General features: G+C 39.5%; 1 long non-coding RNA gene across 1 annotated transcript in view; it reads right to left on the bottom strand.

Moving 5' to 3' along the window:
* The window catches only part of LOC105373893 (uncharacterized), a 428,255-nt gene that overhangs the window by 39,604 nt on the left and 367,162 nt on the right, over window positions 1–21,489 (bottom strand). The window contains exon 4 of the long non-coding RNA XR_001739889.2: window positions 5,915–6,064. This is a non-coding gene — a long non-coding RNA (uncharacterized LOC105373893). The remainder of the gene's footprint in view (window positions 1–5,914; window positions 6,065–21,489) is intronic.

Here is a 21,489-nt window from a genome sequence, read left to right as displayed (position 1 = left end):
CCAACTTAGAATTCATAATATTTGTATTCTTGTTCTTAGAGATGGCCTCTCAAATTGCATAATTCCTGGACCCCCAAATATATGGATTTGTCCCTGGGCTCACCACAGTGATAGTGTCCTCATTATTTTATAGCTAAATAAAGAAAGCCCTGAGATGACCAGGAATAAGATCTGCGCTTCTTTGCTCCAACTTCAAGCTTAAGCTTCTTCTTAAGTTGCATGCCTTAGACAGGCACCATCTCCCTCTGGGCCACATCAGACTGTAAAACCCACCCCCCAGACTATAAAAAACCTAATTAGGAAAAAGAAAAGTGGAGATTCTATAACCCCACATCTTACTAATAACCACAACTAAGAAGCTCATATTTTTTTGTCAGTGTAAGTGGTAGGTAATTTTCATTTAAGTATAAATATCAGATTTTGTCCCAGACTAAAGCAAACCCTGATAATTATACAGTTGCAAATTATTGTGTTAACAAAAAAGATCTAAATTATCTCCTTCCAGCACTTAATGAATTCAGCCACTTAATGAATTCCCGAAATGCATTGCTTTTCCCCATTCCACTTTCTCCTTGCAACAGCGGATTTGTATGCCTGTTGGAAAGAAGAGTGATTCCCATGTCATCCTTCCAGAGTACTATTTATTTGCCAAAAAGAAAAATAGGAAAAAACAAGGACTAAGTTGCCTTTGATCAGTGGGAATTAGTTGCAAATGCTCAATAAAAATAAAAGCTGGATTTGACTCTTAGTATGTTTAGGACTTCAATGATGCAATCACCCGAATTTAGAATTTATAAGGCTGCTTTGTTCAGCTCCTTCAGCTCAGTTCTCATGTAATGTTTGCTCTCAGGGCACAAACATGAAGCATCTGGATGGAATCTATTCTGGCTTCAGGAAGAAAAAATGCCTACCCTGTAGAAAAACTGTCCATCTTTAAATTAAATTCAAATCCAAGCAACTTGCACCCTAGCCAAAGCCTGTTTCTCTATATCTTTATAAACTGCATGATTTAAATCATCTGTGTGTGATTCTTATTTTCCTATTCTTCATAAACTTTTGGAGTAAATGTGGTGCTTGTTAACATGAAGAATTGATAGTTTGTTGCCATTTTCCATGGTCTTAACAATTGGGAACATTTGTAATCAATAAAGGGAGACACAAGGAAACAAATTTGATAACTGTTTTTAAGGAATAAAGATAGAATATTAAAACAGGATTGGAAAGAAGTGCTCCTACCCCAAATCTAATAAACCCGTGGATTGACATTTTTGATAACTATATGGCATGCCATCTAACCTCCTACATTTTTAGCAGAGCTTCTCTTCATTCATGTTTTTCCACATTACACACCCAGTATTATACTATTTAGGCATCAGTGACAAATTCATTCACTAATGTCCTTTAATTCCATTTGATACTTGGAAATGACAGCCAGCTGGTCCTCCAAAAAGTCATGATGCAGTGAAAGCCCAGTGTATGTACTACCATGGTGTGTGTTTGTTGTTGTTGTTGTTGTTGTTTGTTGCTGTCGTTGTTGTTTTTTCCTAATGGAAGTTGTCTGCACGTCTTCCTTTGGCATTTAGTTACACAGGATGCCCCATCATAGCTGCAGAATCTGCTGCCATAGACAGTATCTCCTGTTAAAGTTAAGAAAATGTTTCATACCTCTCCCCACATCAATACCTCTCTGTCTAATGCCTGATCTCACAGAATCACAGTCTACAAATCACAGTCTCACCTACGCTCAGCTTTGCTGGTGGAACAGACCTACCCCATTTCTATCTGTGTCATGAAAAAGTAGGCACTGGGCATGCAATGATAGGTTCAATTTGAATATGGTGATCATCTGAGATAAAGTTTTGTTTTCCTAACAGAAGCCCATAATAGCAGTAGTGCCAAAGAAATAATTCCAACGTGGAAGTGATAAACAAAAATAGGAGAAAAGGGTGCCTAGCAGGGCCCCATGAGGCAGAAATTGCTGGCTCTTCTCAAGCCAGATCTCCCAGGAGATTCCCTCTGTTTAAACTTTTCAAAGAATGAGGCTATTAGGATTTCAAACATATGATATTATTACTTCATCAGAGCATAATTTTTCATTTTTTTTTAGAGCTTCTAGGCTTTTACAGTGCCCAAGTAGCTTGAGCAGCAGTCTGAGAAACTACCAAGAAACAGGAAGAAGATGTGTGCTCTGAGCACCCCACCCTAGCAGCATCACCTTAGAAGGTCCACTTTTTCCTTATTTATGAATTGGGATTAATAATGTTTCATTTGTAAAAAAGTATTCGGATAAACTACCTAGAATATCCTGCTGGGCTGGGCTAAGAAAATTTATGAAGAATAAAAGGAAAATCTAATTCTGCCCCCATCACCTCTCTCTTTGTGTCTCTATCTCACTTTCTCCTTTCTGTCTCTCTTTCCCCTTCTCTGTGTCTCTGTCTCTCTCTCCCATTTCTCTCTGTCTCTCCCAGCCCCACAGTGTGTCTCACTATTTGTCTCTCTCTCTCTTCTCTGTCTACCTCCCCTTTCCCCTACATCAGCACAGTCCCTGTAGTTGTAATTATTCTGCACTGGTTCTAGAAGTGATCTTCTTGGAGAGTCAGTCTTCTTTCTCAAAGCTCAGAGGCCAGGACTTTGGAAGCTCTTTATATGTGAGGCATTCCTGTCCTCCTGTGGAAAGCTGCAGGGATTGTGATTCCAGCTCTTGTGAACTATACTTTTTAGCTAGGGATAGAAAAAAATCAGACACATAGACTAATTAGGGCACCTAATGTCAAAACTGAATCGTGATGGAAACGGCATGATCCCAATCATCCCACAATATTAACTAAACTCAAGAAAACAGAAATATCCCTTTAATGTCAAGTTTTTAAAATAATCCTGATAGATAGACAGAGGTCCTGTGAGTTCATTGTTGCCCTTGGTATCCAGAAAGGTGAAAGTGCCTTCCACCCAGTAACTCTAATGCTCACATGAAGTGGCTTCTGAGTGGGAATGACTTAATCACCTATACTTATTCCCAGCTTACTTAGGATGGATAATAAATATAGAAACCAAAGAAGAAAAGGAACCTTTTGACAATGTTGGTCTCTAAGATCCCTGTGGCCAGATGGTACCATTGTATTTGAAAATAATCTGACTCTTTCTACATGATCTGTATTTAAAAGACTATAGGGCCAGGTGTGGTGGCTCACACCTGTAATCCCAGCACTTTGGGAGGCCAAGTGGAGCAGATTGCCTGAGCTCAGGAGTTCAAGACCAGCCTGGGTAACATGGAGAAACCCCGTCTCTACTAAAATACAAAAAATTAGCTGGGCGTGGCAGCGTGTGCCTGTAGTCCCAGCTGCTCAGGAGGCTGAGGCAGGAAAATTGCTTGAACCCAGGAGGCAGAGGTTGCAGTGAGCCAAGATCGTGCCACTTGACTCCAGCCTGGGTGACACAGCAAGACTCTGTCTAAAAAAAAAAAAACAAAAACAAAACAAAAAAAAAACAACAGACTATAAACCTGATTTTTTCCAGTTGTAGAACTCTGAAGCAAGGAGCTGGAATAAATCCAGACAGAACTGCAGTAAAGCTTCTGAGGAGGAGGGCTTTTCTTGTTCTCCATTTGTGTGGGTGAAACATAGCATGGCACATATTTCTTAGCACATTCTGCCTACTCCCCATCCCTGCCTGCTTCCTTAGGAAATAGACTCCTCCAGTGATCTCTAATGGGATAGAAATGCAGGCTTCAGAACAGGCATTATTTCCCAGTATTCGATAACAAACAAAGAACAATGTAGAAAATGTTTTAAAGAAGGTGGAGCATCTCCAAACAGAAAATAAAATACAGTAAATTACCATTTTGACAGCTTGCAAACAATTACAAAAACAGAAACCAAAAGCATTTTTGCATGTTTTGTACTCTTTTATGAGAAAGAGACAAATGATAAGTAAGCTGTCATCAGGGATGTATTCAATACCCAAAACTCAATAGCAATTGGGCCCCATCTTCTGAAACAACCATGTTCCTTATGATTCTGAAATGAGTCTGTGTCCTCAGATTCTTCTAGACCTCAAACTCAATATGCACAAAATGGTTTTAGTGTCTTCTTCTTAAGTCTTTGAAATCTGGAAGTTCACATCCATAAGCATAGATACCTGTCACCTTCTCATATTGTATATGCTGATCTCTACCATGGATTAAACCATTAACCAAATATTGAACGGTTGAGTTTTCTCCCTTCCTACAGATTTTGATACTCTAGTTCTGGCAGGGAGCAAGGAAAAGGAGCATGAACATGCCTGTGTCCTCTTTCATGGTAACTCAGCCTTTTAGGGAATGGCAGGATGGTAGGTAACCAAGTAAGCCAAGATAATTAGTTGTAAGCAATGAAAACCAACTCTGACCATCTTAAGTAAAGCATAGTACTTACTGGAAGCCTGTTGGAATCTCATAGAAATGATGGAAGACTATGCATGGCGCATGGGAAGTGAACATAACATGGACAAAGCAGCATCACTTGGGGACAGTCATCACGAGCACCATTGCCCTCCTTGCCATCTTCATGGATGGTGGCATGACTTCCTATTGTCCCCATTTCCTCATGTTCCACACTTCAGCTTCAGAGCCCTAGCCAGCAGTCAGTTTGGTCAGGGTTGGATGTGTGCCCATCCACCTGCCAGCAAAGAGGTAGAAGAGGGATCTGGCACCTAATGCTGAGAGCAGCCCTGGGAGGCAGGTGCCAGGATTTCCCCTTCTTCCTAGAACAAACGCTCAGGGACAGAGGAGGAATTACTTTCAGGGAAATCCCAGGGGTTTGTGGGAAAGGGACAGGTGCTGACCGAGCTCTGGATACCTTGGGACTGCACATCTACCATCAGGGCCCTTGCAGCCCCCTCCTCTGTATTTCACTCCTGGGTTCATAAACTATTCCCTAAGCCAAACGACACATTGGCGACTCAGGCAGGTTCATGTTTTTGTGCTCTTCTAATCCAATATCCTTTATTAGCTATTTACCTTCTATTTTAAGGGGCTTTCTATTCTTAAAAGTTCTATTCATCTTTATTCATGATCAAATGAAGGGATTTTCCTGAGAATAACAAATCATTTTGATTCTTTGGAACGACATTCCATTTTACAGTTTTTCCTTCATCCATAACTGGATAGCATTAGTCACTCACACTCACTTAGGGTAGAGGTAGCTAACCTGTATATACTTCCGAAGGCTTATTCCAAATACATATAAAAGTTTCTTTCACTAGCCAACATAGGCTGAGTTCCCTAGGAAACAGACTCTGAGATTTGCATGCAGGGGGTTTATTGGGAAACACACTCACGAATAAAACTGGCAACAGATGAGAGAAGAAGGACTGGGCAGAAGAAAAAGTTGAACTGTGATCCAGTTGCAGAGGAGACCTCAGCCAATCCTATGAGGAGTTCTGGAGCTGGAATAGCCCTTCAGAACTATCCCATCTAAGACAAGGTCCAGGACTTTGTACCCCACATCAACCAGTGTGGGCTGCCACTATAGAGGGAGTGTAACACTGAACAAAGCAATTCCCCTCAAGTGGAGGATAATTCCTGAAGAGGAACTCAGCCATGGCCGTCAGTAGCTAACATTCCTGCCAGCTGGAAAATGAGTCCTTGGTCCTGAAGAGGAATCTGGATGGAATAATAGTATCCATTATCTTCTAATCTTCCACAATCTGCTTGCCTCTTACACTGAGTTCATCCCATGTGAAAACGACTGCTCCCTGACTTTGGTCTCTTTTCCTAGAGAAACTTATAGGAGGAAAATTAATGGGACAAATTTCAATTGCCACCACTGAAGCTGATTTTTAAACTGCAATTGGTATGCCTCTTCTCTCTCCTGTAGTGCCCATTCTAGACTCCTATCATCCTTCATTAGTACATTTTCTGGTCTTGGTAACTCACCTGGTGGTGTAACCAAGGCTGTCATCCTTGAAGGAGCTGAGCTTCTGTTTACCACACTCTTCTGACACAGGGCATTTGTCCAAGAAAAGTAGGCTCTCCTTATCCACAGGTTCAGCATCCTCAGATTCAAACTACTGCAGATCAAACTATCTGTAGAAGAAAAATTAAAAATACAATGAAAGGCCAGGTGCAGTGGCTCATGCCTGTAATCTAAGCACTTTGGGAGGCCAAAGCAGGTGAATCACGAGGTCAGGAGATTGAGATCCTGGCTAACACAGTGAAACCCCATCTCTACTAAAAAATACAAAAAAATTAGCTGGGCGTAGTGGCAGGCGCCTGTAGTTCCGGCTACTCGGGAGGCCGAGGCAGGAGAATGGTGTGAACCTGGGAGGTGGAGGTTGCAGTGAGCCAATATCATGCCACTGCACTCCGGCCTGGGTGACAGAGTGAGACTCCATCTCAAAAAAAAAAAAAAAAATACAATGAAAATAGTACAAATAAAATTACAGTATAACAACTATTTACATAGCATTTATATTGTATTATGTATTATAAGTAATTTAGAGACTAAAATATATGGGAAGATGTGTATAGGTTATATGCAAATACTATGGCATTTTGTATAAGGGGTTTGAACATCCTCAGACTTTGCTATGCACGGGGGTCCTGGAACCAGTGCCCTCAAAATACCGAGCGATGACTGCTCTATCAAAATGAGTAAGGGTGTGCCAAGACTTGCCCCAGTGAATCATCCGGTGCCAAACAAATTCTTCCTGCCTTCATTATGTAAAAGTGGTCTTATCTTTTTTGGATGATCAGAGTCAATTATTCCTTCCAGAACTGTAACTCCGTTTCTTGCCTGCTAGTCTTTTGGCACAAGTATCTCAAAGTAATTTGCAGGCAGCCAAGGTGTAAAGCATAATGAGATTTTCACTGTGTCCTCAGTGGAACAGCTACTGAGAGGGTGGAAGTGCTCCTTCTCAATGGCTCAGGAATTTCAAGACCCTACAGAGCCTAGAGTTGTGGAAGCAACAAATTCCCCAAGGAATCGCTAGATGTGATGATAGGCAAAGCCACTACTACCACCATCCCTTGGTCCTGGACCAAATATTCCTCATCTTTGGGGCATAGCACCATATAATTGATACTCATTGTGAGTATATACTGCAGCCTAGAGGAGGGCTACCCTCCCCTTGGGGTATCATCCCTAATCTGGTACCTCATCTTGGCCTTCAAAGGATCATTCTATCACTCTGTCAGGTCATCAGAGTTTATGGTTTAAAACAGGACCAGTGGATTCCATGACCAAGTGCCTGCTGCCACATTCCCTTTTACTGTGATGTAGGTCTCTTGGTCTGATGCAATATTATGGATCAAACTGTCTAAGCTTTCAATGCTGCTGGCTAAAGTCCTGTGAGCAGGAAAAGCAAACCCATACCCAAAATATCAGTCTACTCCTATCAGAATAGATATTTTCCACTTCCAGGGGGAAGGGGTCCAATCTTATGAAATTCCTACCAAGTAGCCACTTGGTTTCCTCAAAGAATGATGCATCTTCCCCAGATCCTTTATCCCCAATTGTTTCCCTTCCAGCCCTTGACCAACCAGCTAAGCATCACAAGTGCCTTTTCCCACCACATGTACCTCTAGTACTATAGCTTTTGCTGGATAATATGCTTTGATCACAGCCTGGACCTGCTGCAGAGCCCTGTCCTGGCTGCTCTGTGTCCCACTCAAAGCTGATAGCTTTTTATGTTATTTGGTCAATCAGAGCCAACATGATAAGGAACCAACATTGGTGTTCTTCAAACTACCAAGTACGTCCATGCCATTTATTTATTCAGGGACCCCCTGGTTACGGACTCAGAAGACTTGTGAGCCAGAAGACCTGGGCCAAAAATCGCTTTATTGCTTGGTTCTCAAATGTCCTCACTCTTTCCTGACAACTCAGATCCTATATTGAAATATCTTTAAAATGCTTTGATATTCCCCTACCTTCATGTATTAGTCTGCTTACATGCTGCTGAGAAAGACATACCCAAGACTGGGCAATTTGCAAAAGAAAAAGGTTTAATTGGACTTACAGTTCCACATGGCTGGGGAGGCCTCACAATCATGGCAGACGGCAAGGAGGAGCAAGTCACACCTTATGTGGATGGCAGCAGGCAAAGAGAGTTTGTGCAGGAAAACTCCCCCTTATAGTATCCATCAGATCTCATCAGACTTCCTCACTATCACAAGAACAGCAAGGGAAAGACCTGCCCTGATGATTCAATTACCTCTCACCGGGTCCCTCCTACAACATATGGGAATTCAAGATGAGATTTGAGTGGAGATGCAGCCAAACCATATCACTTCAATATATGAGAATTTGAGTAAACGGTTGTAGATATCTTTGAGGAAGGCTTGGAATAATCACTACTGAGAATATTTGCCACGATGTTGCAGAGTTTATCCTTGTGAGGACCCAACATCTCCCTCTTACCAATGGGTTCTGAGTTAGAGAACTGGTCAAAAGATTATGACTTTTTTATTAGAGGAGTTGGCTTCTCTCTACTGATCATACATTCTTGTTTTCTTTTCTTGTATAGACCAAGCGATATTCTTGCTGGCTGACCTTTTTATCCTGTCAGTCTTAGTTTGTTCCATGCTGCTATAACAGAATAGTTGAGACTGGACGATTTTTAAAACTAAGAAATTTGTTTCTTATGGTTCTAGGGGCTAGGAAGTCCAAGGTTGAGGGGCCAGGATCTTTCTACTGAGGGATTTCTTGCTACATCATACCATGGTGGCATGCAGAAGAGCAAGGGAATATGCATTAGTGCATTAATCCATTCATAAGGGCAGAGCACTCCCGGCCCAATCGCCCCATAAACGTCCCACCTCTCCACGCCACTGCATTAAATATTAAGTTTCTAACACATGAACTTTGAGGGACACATTCAAGCCATAACACTGTCCCAAGGAACACCATGTTCTATTCGTCATCTACATAGCTCTTTTTAGGTCAGGCTCCCTGGTTCTACATTGCTCTTCATTGTAATAAATGTACCCACTTTGCTTTTGCCAGTTAAATACCTTCAGCTAGTATCTATTCGTACAAAATCCCATCAACCACATTGCTTTCACGGAACCCAATTCTATAACAGCATCTCCCTCCATCAGTGATGATCTACAGAGGACAATCCGCTTTGTACTTGTTGAAAAATTCTGGTGCCCCTCTCATTAGCACATTGATTATTATTTGGTAAATGAAGTGTCCTCAGGTCCTTGGGAGAGGCAGCTTCCCTCAGTCAAGGGCAATTCCTGGGGAGTCAATCAAGGGTAATCAGTCAGCAGTGTTGGTCCTGGGGATGAGGGTGAGAAGTCTGATGGTACCTTGGTAGTACATTACTGCATCTACTGTTCTACCTCATGGCCAAGCCACTTTCCTTACCCTCCTTCCAAACAAAAAGCATTAAGTCCACTATTGTTTCCCATAATAGAGCCTTATATGTCGTAGGAAATGCTTGATGGTCTTGGACATTAAGATCACAAAGGTCTATGCATTCTACATGGAACAGTAAAAGAAATAACTTCTATTCCAACTGAAGCTCTAAAGATAGAGGAATATCACTACAGAAAAAAGAAAAAAAAAGGAAGGAAGGAAAAGAAAAAGGAAGTGAAGAAGGGAGGGAGGAAGGGGGAGGGAGGAAGGGAGGGGGAAAGGGGGAAGGGAGTGAAAGGGGAAGTGAGGAGGGAGGGAGGGGAGAAGGGGGGAGGAAGGGAGGGGAGAAGGAGGGAGAGGGAAGGGGGGAGGAAGGGAGGGGGGAAGGGGGCAGGGAGGGAGGGGGGAAGGGGAAGGAGGGAAAGGGGAAGGGGGAAGGGGGGAGGAAGGGAGGGGGAAGGGGCAGAGGAGGAAGGGGGCAGGGGGGAAGGAGAGAGAGAAGTGGGGAAAGAGGGAAGGAGGGAAGAAGAAAAGAGGTTAATTTTCAGTGGGTCACTGTATTAGTCTGTTTTAATGCTGCTGATAAAGACATACCAGAGACTGGGCAATTTAAAAAGGAAGAGGTTTAATGGAGAATTCACAGTTCCACGTGGCTGAGGAAGCCTCACAATCATGGCGGAAGGCAACGAGGAGCAAGTCAAATCTACTTGGATGGCGGTAGGCAAAGAGAGAGCTTCCGCAGGCAAACTCCCGTTTTTAAAGCTATCAGATGTCATGAGACTTACTCGCTGTCAGGAGAACAGCACAGGAAAGACCCGCCCCCATGATTCAGTTATCTCCCACAGGGTTCCTCCCACAACACATGGGAATTATGGGAGCTACAAGATGAGATTTGGGTGGAGACACAGAGCCAAACCATATCAGTCATGCCACTGTCTCTGTACAGATTATCATGGAGAAATATAGCACATTTCTGATTTTTTTTACCAGTAGTACTTTAGTATGTGCAGAAGATTGATGCTGAGCAGCTGTCGGCTTACCCACAGCTCCTAACCTGAGTTTGGATCCTCCCTGCACGGTGGGTGGTTGCTCTGCTGTGAGTTTGGCTTTGCTGTCATTCATTTCTTACACCTAGTGTTGCTTATACTTCTCCTTTTCTGAAGACCTCAAGAAAGCAACAGGTAGAAGTGATCAATACCAAAACTTGTTTCCACTTTTGGGAATTTAGAGATATTACAGTTTCTTTGGAAGATCCAACATTTTTTTCTTCATTTTCAAGACAGAACATAGCTCCCTTAATACTCCCTAGAATTAGCAATCTCTCCCCAAAACTGTCCTCTAAAGTTGTTTCAGGGTAAAGTGACTCACTTGTTCTAAGGCTTGACAATATCCTAAATTCTTCACATTCCACACCTTCATTTGACATGAGGGAAAGCATAAGAATTGAAATCTAGCAATAGTTCTGGGATTCCACACACTTGGCCCAGTTTTATTATTAGTATTTTTGAATCATTCAGCTTGCCTATAATATGCAGAACATTAAGTCTGCCTGCATACATCAATCCTTCTGAAGAATTAAAATGATTTAATTGTATAGATTTCATCAGGAAAAAAAAGGTACTACAAATATTTGCAGTAGATTCTTAGACTCTAAAGGAAGGGTCAGGTTTTGTAAACGTATGTAGTAACAATACGCAGTACATGGTTTTGTTTTAATGTGTTAAAACATAATCGATTCTAATATAAAAATTATATCATTATGTTTTCGTGCTTCTAGTAGCATACACATAATAGAAAATGCTCATTATAGCTCTTTGGAGGTTGTGGCAAAGTACAAAATGTTTTTTACAAGTATCTGTGAAACTATTTGATCTATAAATTGTCTGGCAAAAATACTTCTATTAGTGTTAGAAGCAAAGATTTTCTTTTAAAAAGTCTAATCAAGATGTGTTTCTTCTAAGAACCAATACCAATATAAATATGAGATAAAATTGCATTGAGTTCAACAGAATGCAATAAACAACACTGTGCCAGGCACTGATTGGACCAAAGGCATACAAAGATGACTATAATTCATTTGCTTATGGAACTCACTGTCTGTTGAAGAAGAAAGGAATATTTGATTACCACACAAGGGGTTTCTGATGGGCATTAACACTGTTTTCATTACAACCTTTTTGTCAAGGACCAGAAAAGGTGAATCATAGTACTATATGTCAGAAACTTTCACGTTTAAGGTTCCATCTGGTCCCCATTACAACCCCAGTAATAGACATTATTATTTTTATTAAGTTTACTTGAGATTATGTAGCTAGTAAGTGGCTTAAACCAACTATCTCTAAAATCTTCGATCTTTGTACAATATCAGGGGTTGGCAAGCTATAATCTGTGGGTCAAATATGATCTGCTGCCTGTTTTTATAAAGTTTTATTGAAACACAGTCATGCCTATTATTTTCTACATATTATCATCTATGGTTGCTTTCAAGCCAAAAGAGCTAATTTGAGTGGCTGCCCAACAACAAAGACCATGTCACAAGCCTGAAAATATTTACTATCTGGCCCTTTAAAGAAAAGATTTTTCTGATTCCAGCATTATATCATACCACAATAGGTCTCAAACAGAGAATTTTGGCAGTGTCTGGAGACTTTTTCTGGTGGTCTCAACTTAGGGGTGCTACTGGCATGCTAGTGCCAAACACGTTCAATGCACAAGATGGCTCCCCACAATAGCGAATTATCTGGCCCAAAATGTCAATAGTGCTTGACACCCCAAATCCTTCTCATCTGATGAAATCTGCAGTTTCATTACAAAACTTCATAAAATGTCCAATTTTAATTCTGTGGAATGGCTAAATATTTAGCAATTTTAGTATATGTTACTACATTAGTGAGTTAAACATCAGCTAGAATTTTCAAGATATTTGCATCTTCCAGAAAGTAATTTGCCGGCTGTATGTTTGGTGTTATTGCATTATGAAAATATAAATTCATAAAATAGACCATCTGAAGACTTCTGTGTAAGGATGGCTGATTGGACATAATCCTCTATTTTTACATTCTCTTAAAAGCCAACTAAAATGACAGTAAAGAGATATTTTGAAGTTATAACCTTCAAGAACAGGGATGATGGCAGTGATTGTGGCAATAACACTTTGGAAGCTGGGGAGCAGATGGACCAGTGATAAATGATAGCAGACCTCAGGAACTGCGTTTCAAGACAGAGTGAGAAAAAGCTGAGAACTAACCAGATTTTCACCAAATAATTTCTCAAAACCTCAGAAACTGGCAAAACAAGTCCTTTGGAAGGACGGCTGAAGCCAGTGGCATGGCAAACGTACAAAGGATTGAAAGTCTGGAAAAGGAAGAGTCAGAGGCTCAGATCCCCTCCCTCACTCTGAGCAAATGGGTCACCATCTCCCTCCCACCCTGCAAAGAGTTAAATGCAGATATTCTCTGGAGTAGAGCATACCAGATCATGATTAGTTGGTTAACCCTGTACTGAGAACAGAGGAGTCGGGGGAATAAAGGCATACTGGATGCTGAGGACCCATCCACAACTCCGTATCTCATCGTCACTTGATTCCCAGCATGTTGGCATAGATAGGAAAAAATACGCTAATGCTAAAGAAGAACAGAGGCATATTTTTAAAAATTCAAAAAGAAAGAGACAAAGGTTCCGAGAAATGTAAAACTATAACAGAAATGAAAAGTTCAATAGATGATTTGAAAGATAAAGTTGAAGAAAACTTCCAGCATATATACAAAGGAATCAAATGAATAAGACACACAAACAATCAGCAAATTAAGGGCCAAGTTTAGAAGGTTCAGTATCTGAGTGATAAGACTTCCAGAGAGAAAACAATGATGAAAATCAGCAATAAAATAATCCAAGAGAACTGAATGCCCAGGACAATGAATGATAGACCCAACAAAACACAAATTTATGAATTTCAGATTGAGAAAAAGAGATGATCCAAAAATCTTCAGAAATGTAAACATAAAAATCAAGTTACATAAGAGAGTTAGAAATTGATTTTAGATTTCTCAATAGCTGAAAGCTAGAAGGTAATGAAACAATGCCCTCAGGATTCTAAAGGAAAATTGTTTCCAACCTTAAATTCCATATAAAGTCAAATTCTCATCAACAGTTAGAGTAAAATAAACATGTTTTCAGCCATCAAGTTTACAAAAAAATTTACCCCCCATGTACTTTCTCTTAGGAACCACCTTTCCTCTGATACAACAAGGCAGAAAAGCAAGAAAGTAGAAGACAATGTGTCTTAGCCCATGTTATTCAGAAAGAATAGCCAGAGATGAGTAATGTGTAATTATGAGATATGATCCGGAGAATAACAGTGAGTTTCATAGAAAAAAAGTCAAGGAAAGAGGAAGAGGGATTTTTCAGAACACCTGTCCAGAAAATAATGAAGCATTTGTGGTTTCATTCCTGTTTGCTGTTGGTCAAATATCCCCCCAGGCAGCTAACTCTCCTGCCCTTCCAGGGGGCACATGTATGAGCATCTAGTGGGTTCCAGGAGTATCTGCCATTCAGATGACCAAGATGCTCAAGACCAGAAGAAAGTGGCATGCAGTGCAGGCCCAACCTTAGGTCTTACTGGACTGCTTCCTTGTGAAGCTGGTCAGAGTACTCACAGAACTTGTCATCACAGTGTGGCAGGGTTAATTAAGAAAGAGACAGTAAGAATCTGAAGCGAGGCAAGAGGAGTTCGGTAATGTAGGGCTACCCCATATTTCCTGTTTTCCTCTCTTTCAAAGTGCACATTTCTCCACACCCTGCAGTTAGGCAAGGCCATGTGTTTGCTTTGCTCAATAATTTGCTTTGGCTGCTTCTAGACTGAAGCACTTAAATGTGGGTGCACGATGCTCTATGTTCCCTTCCCCTGCCTCCACAATCACAGAAACTTGCAAGTCAATGTGGTGGCACCACACTATGAAAGTCATTATCACAAGGAAGAAAGAATGTAAGAGGGTTTAGCTCTCAAAGAGGTAGGAGACAAGAGAATTGGGGGAAGGTTGTGGAACTATTCTGTATCGTATTTGTGGTGTTGGTTCCATGGCTCTATTACTTGTCAAAACTCAGAACTGTACAACAAAGACACACACACACACACACACACACACACACAAAGAAAGTCACCCTGGATGCTGGTTCAACACAGCTGCTCTAAGGAGTCATCCAGAGCCATTTAGACCCAAGGTGAACTTTGTGCAAGAGATTAACAACTTCTGTCATGTGAATTGACTCATATCTTGGTGCTAGATTGACATGAAATAGAGGAAAAAAGAAAAATCACCATAGAAAAGACATGACTTCAATTCCCAGGATAACAGTTAGAAGATATCTTGGGATGAAAGCTACACAACGAGCAATACGAAGCACCCTGTTCACATGGGAGCAGGTCCAAAGGCTCCCAGACAGGCATAGGGAGAAAAAAAAATGAGAAAATAGCTGATGAGTCTGAATTCTGTATAAGAGTTAGGCAATAGGCAAAGATTTTGAGGTTAAATTCCTGATCAATACACTGAAAACTAACATATATAAAAGCAAGATGACTCGTAACTATAATACAAGTTTTATAATAAAAAAAGAGTTAGAATTTGCTATGGAGCTCTGCTACAAATAGCAATTATTTTGTCATTAATCTCTAAACCCTGCATATTGATCTAAGTAAAACACAACTATATTAGGAAAATGGTAGAATGGGAACCATATGCATGGGAATATGGAATATTCCCATGTTCCAGGAAAGGGAAGGATTTTTTTATTTAATTTTCCAGAGGTGAAGTAAATATAAAATGATGAAATTTTTTTTTAATTTAAATACCAATTCAAGAATGTTATTTGGAAACACGAAAGTAAAAACCAAAATAATCAGCTAACAGAATTGAAAGTAGCTGCCTTTGGAAAGGGAAAAATATGAAGAAGTAGATAGAAGAGTGCTGTTTTAATAACAAGTATTATAGAACTATTTTATTGTAAACTCTTTTCAAATATAACTTAAAATAATAAAATGAATTAAAATCAACACACTTTTTTGCTGATTCTGTTTTTTGAAAACTTCTCGTTTATCTTTCCCCAACCCATTATTGCTGTGTGTTCAGAAAATGACGATTAATGTTTAATGTAAAAATTATATATCTATGTTTGCATCACACAGTCTCAAATGATTCTCATAAAGGTAAGTGATAGGGCAGCTAAACTGTCCCAAGTTCCCAGAGTTAGCAAATATCCAGGCCAAACTGTAAATCCACATTCCTCCTCCCACAACACACTACCTGTAACATGACATGGTTTTGTGGAAAGTGGAAATGGTCAAGGAGCCTAGAAATGAGGATTTGAGTCTGACTCAATACGAGCCAAACCTAAATGTTCTGACCAAACTTGAAGGTTATGTCTTCATAAATAACTAAAGACTCTTAAAGAAAAAATAAGGACCTATTCATTTACAATCAGATAGTCAACAAGCATTAAAAGAATATGGTTGGGTAGGTACCAGGAAAAGTAAACGGAATTTTCCATTTATTGATGGAATATACTGCAGTGCTTCCAAAACTTGTTCTAATCAGTCCCTAAGGTCTTTTAAGTAGTTACAATGCTCAAGGCAGCATACAGGACACTGAGGGTCAAAGATAAATATGCCATATCCATGCATCTACAGTGAACTCATTTTTGACAAAAATGCCAACAACATGCATTGTGGAAAGGCCAGTCTCTTCAATAAATGGTACTAGGTAAATTGCATATCCATTTGCAAAAGAACAAAATTGGACCCCTATCTGTCGTCATATACAAAAATCAAATTAAAATGGATTAAAGACTTAAACTAATACCTCAAACTATGAAACTACTAAAAGAAAACAATGGGGAAACTCTGTAGGACATTGGATTGGGCAAAGATGTCTTGAGTAATACTCCCTAAACACAGGCAACCAAAACAAAAATCGACAAATAGGATCACATCAAGTTAAAAAAAGCTTTTGCACAGCAAAGCACACAATCAACAAAGTGAAGAGACAACTCACAGAATCAGAGAAAATACTTGAAAATATTTACCTGACAAGGGATTAATAACCACAATATATAAGGAGCTTGAAAAACTCAACAGGAGAAAAAAAGTAATAATGTTTAAAAATGAGCAAAAGATGGCCAGGTGCGGTGGCTCACGCCTGTAATCCCAGCACTTTGGGAGGCTGAGGCGGGCGGATCATGAGGTCAGGAGATTGCAACCATCCTGGCTAACACGGTGAAACCTGTCTCTACTAAAAATACAAAAAATCAGCTGGACCTGGTGGTGGGCACCTGGTGGCTACTCGGGTGGCTGAGGCAGGAGAATGGCGTGAACCAGGGAGTCGGAGCTTGCAGTGAGCAGAGATGGCACCACTGCACTCCACCTGGGACACAGAGCAAGACTCCGTCTGAAAAAAAAGAAAAAAAAGGCAAAAGATATACATAGACATTTCTCAAAAGAAGACATACAAATGGCAAACAGGCATATGAAAAGGTGCTCAACATCACTTATCAGAGAAATGCAAATCAAAGCTACAATGAGATATCATCTCACCCTAGTTAAAATGGTTTCCATTCAAAAGACAGGCAATAATGAATGCCTGCTGGTTGGAATGTAAATTAGTACAGCCACTATGCAGAGCAGTTTGGAGGTTTCTCAAAAAACTTAAAATAGAACTACCATATGATCCAGCAATCCCACTGCTATGTATATACCCAAAAGAGAGGAAATCAGTTTATCAAAGAGATACCTGCAGTCTCATGTTTACTGCAGGCCTGTTCACAATAGCTAAGATTTGGAAACAACCTAAGTGTCTATCAACAAACAAATAGATAAAGCAAATGTGGTACATACACACAATGGAGTACTATTCAGCCATAAAAAAGAATGGGATTCTGTTATTTACAATAACACGGATGGAACTGGAGGACATTAACTTAAGTGAAATAAGCAGGCACAAAAAGAAAAACTTCCCACGTTCTCACTTATTTGTGGGAGCTAAAAATTAAAACAATTGAACTCTTGGAAATAGAGAATAGAATGATGGTTGGCAGAGGCTGGGAAGGGTAGTGGTTGCGGGGGGAAATGGGAATGGCTAATGGGTACAAAAACATAGATAGAATGAATAAGATCTAGTATTTCATAGCAAAACAGGGTAATTACAGTCAATGAGAATTTATTACACATTCTAAAATAACTAAAAGAGTATAATGGAAATATTTGTAACACAAAGAAATGATAAATGCTAGAGGTGACGGATACTCATTTACCCTGATGTGATTACTATGCCTTGTATTCCTTTATCAAATATCTCATGTACTCCATAAATATATCCACCTACTATGTACCAGTAAAAATTAAAAATAATTTTTTAAAAAAATAAATAAGCCATACTCTTTGGCTTTATTGCTGCCTCTCTCTTCGCAGTTTTTGCCAGAATTGTGATTTAACAGATGTTGGTATAGCTTTTCATTTACTGCCAAGAATGGCATATGTTTTTACTTACTGTTATGCCCTTGTATCTAGTAAGGTACCTGAAATATACTAGTGGTCAATACACAATTGTTTAATGAATGAACAGGTGATCTAATATATAAATAAGAAGCTAAATGGTCAACAATGAACCTGAGTCAAATGAACAATGTGTAGGATTGGGACAGTGCCAATCAGACTATTTTCCATAATTCCCACCTCCAACTCATTCCTGTGATAGTTTTCTCTGTGTTTCATAAGTCATTTAATCCATATGGCTAAATTGTTAGCTCTGGGGGTAGTGACCATGTGTCAACCTCCAGATTCCTTCAGAATTGTAAGACTGAACAGAGATGAGATATGGAACTCAACGCACACTCCATGAATGAGTACAGCCAATGCAGTGGCCTTGCTGACTCACCCTCATTATTGCACGTGAAAGTTAATCTACAATACATGGTTGAATATGCAAGACTGTTCATCCTCTTTTTTTATAATCCTATCTGACATCACAAAAAACCTTGAAAGAAGTGCTAAAAATAATTTTGCCACACTTATTTAGAAAGGATTAGGCTTGGACAAACTCCCCTAAATTCATTAATTTATTCATTTTTCTCTTTGATTCCTCCGCAAAAACCTATTTATAGGTTATTGAATCAATAAATAACTATATGAATCAATGGGTCAATAAATACCTATTGAGTTGACTTAACAAATAACTGTTGAGTCAATATTTATACAAATCAAATCCTATACTATGAGTTAGCCAGGACTGAAGTCACATGTATCTTCAGGATATTATAGTAAAACACAAGGTTAATGTTGGGCTTAGAAGAACATGTATTAACAATAAAAGAATTCATCAAGAAGGAATCTTCTCCCCTACTTACTTTCTCCCAAAGAAAATTTATTTTATTACATAGCAGCATGTCACCAAGAAATACAAAGATCCCTAGAGAAAGGCCATTATTTACAGTTTCTTCTTTTGCCTTTTAAGATTATCCAACGTTAAACAACTGGTATGGTTTGCATGTAATGTGACATCCATGTGCAACCCGAATAACATCTGTTAAATAACCAGCAGAAAAGGAAAAATAATCCATCCTCTTTCCTTCAAGTACATAAAAGCAGTAAACATTGGAAAAGATTTTGTTTCTGCTGTGATTGGCAGTCACAAAGTTTTCATGAGTCATTAGCACAACCAGATGCTTCCCTAGAAATAGGTAGGGATTGCAGGAGAGAGTTCTCCTATCTGGTGATATTCCAGCTACCATTGTGAGTAGCTACTATAAGTCAAACATCATAATGGATGCTGCAGAGGCAAAAATGTAAAGAAAAAAATGTTCCTTCCTTTCAGGAACTTTCTCTCCAGGAGAAAGTCTTAAGGAGTAAACAATTACCATGGAAAGGGCTCTGTATTAGTCTGTTCTCATGCTGCTAGTAAAGATATACTCGATACTGGGTAATTTATAAAGGAAAGAGGTTTAATTGACACATAGTTAGCTCTGCAGGCCTGCGTAGGCCTCAGCAAATCATTCTGGAAAGAGAAGCAAACATGCCTCACATGGTGACAGGCAAGAGGGTATGTGCGGGGGAACTCCCCTTTATAAAACCATCAGATCTCATAGACGTACTATCACAAGAACAGCATGGGAAAGACCTGTCCCCATGATTCAATTACCTCCCACCAAGTCCCTCCTATGACACATGGAAATTATGGAAGCTACAATTCAAGATGAGACTTGGGTGGGGACACAACCAAACCATATCATGCTCGGAGCTCAAGAGATGTAGGGTTGAGTTCTATAAGGAAGCAAAGTGCCTCCTCTGATCTGAAGTGATCATTGAAATGGGCCTTGAAGGATGAGTAGGACTTTCCAGGAAAAGCAAAGATTGGGATGGAAGGGGCATTTCAAGCAGCAGAAAGCACATGCAAAGGTCCAAAGTTTAACTGAGAACTTTGAGTATTATCACATACATCCGTGAGTAGAGTGGAAATGGAATTGATAATCTTGGGAAGGAAAGTTATATCCAAATTGTGAAGAACATGCTTTTGCCATAAAAAGAAGTTTTGAATGTATGAATTTTTTGCCACAAAAAGAAGTTTTGACTGTATGAAAGGGGGCTGCACAGTGACCCTATAGCAATTGGGTATCTTCTTTAGCGAAAAATCACTGAAGTCCATCCTCAAATAAATAATAATAATTGTTCTAAAAGAAAAGGTATACAGTGTTCCCTTCTAATAACTACTTTAAAAGCCAAAGTGATCCAAATTTTGAGAACACAAATTAAATTATCTGGTTTCACTTCATATGACTACACAGCTGAATTATTAGGAAAAAGAAGACTTGAGAGGGCATAAAATTAACCGTCAGTTATGTATTTGCCATTTGGGAATTTAGTTTCCTGCTGAGCTTCAATTGTAAGATTTACCAAAACCTTCTGTTCTTCTGTGTACTTAAAATACCGTGTGGGTTTCTGAGACCAGCCAACAGGAAAAACATGGGTAGCAACACATTGGTCGCCTTTTTCCCAGAGTTTTCAAAACCAGGCACTTCCTGCATTCAAAGGTAATCCCAAGCCAACCATGACACTGAAAAATAGATCACTTCTAATCAAAATTTAAAACCTAATCTGCAAAAGACATTGTTAAAGGAATGAAAAGACAAACCCCAGACTGGGAAAAAATATTAGCAAAAGACATATCTACTAAAGAAATGTTATCCAAAATACTGTATACAAAGATTTTAAAATACTGTATACTTTTAAAAGAAAAAAAAAATGGGCAAAACATCTGAACAAACATCTCACCAAAAAAGATGTACAGGTGGAAAATAAACATACAAAAAGATGTTCAGCATATATGTCATTAGGGGATTGTAAATTAAAACAATGAGAAACCACTAGCCACTTATTAGAATGCTTGGAGTCCAAAAAAAACCTGACAATACTGGGGAGAATGTGGCGCAGAGGGAGCCCTCAGGTATTGCCTTTGGTGATGCAAAATGGCAAAGCCACCCTGTAAAAAAGCTTGGAAGTTTCTTAGAAAACTAAACACAGTCTTACCATACAATCTAGCTCTTACTATACCAATCAAATTCCCAGGTATTTATCAAGTAGGTTGAAAACTTAACATCCATACAAAAACCTGCACACAAAAGATTACAGCACCTGCCCAAACCTGGAGGTCCTTCAATAAATGAATGGAAAAACAAGCTGTGGTGTGTCCTTACGGTGGAATATTATTCAGCAATAAAAAATAAATAAGCTACTAAGCCATAAAAAAAAAACATAGAGAAACGTTGCTTCAACCATGGGACATTCTGGAAAAAGCAAAACTATGGAGACAGTAAAAAATCAGTGGTCACAAGAGGTTGGTGGGAAGGGAGGGATGAATAGGCAGAGCACAGAAGGTTTTTAGGGTGGAAAATATTCCATAGGATACTGTAATGATGGATACATGATATTATGTTGTAGTTAATAAATGGTGAGTAATAGTGTATTAAGGCTAACTCAGTTGTAACAAATGTATCACATTAAGGTAAAATGTTAATACTAGGGCAAACTGTGTGTTCAGGTGTGTGTGGCAGGGGTGGTTATAGAAGTTCTTTATACTATCTGCTCAATTCTTCTGTGCATCTGAAA

This window comes from Homo sapiens, chromosome 2 (assembly GCF_000001405.40).
Source record: "Homo sapiens chromosome 2, GRCh38.p14 Primary Assembly".
NCBI classification, from domain to species: Eukaryota; Metazoa; Chordata; class Mammalia; order Primates; family Hominidae; genus Homo; species Homo sapiens.
Note: the sequence above shows the minus strand (reverse complement) of the source record. Positions and strands in the feature narration are given on the sequence as shown.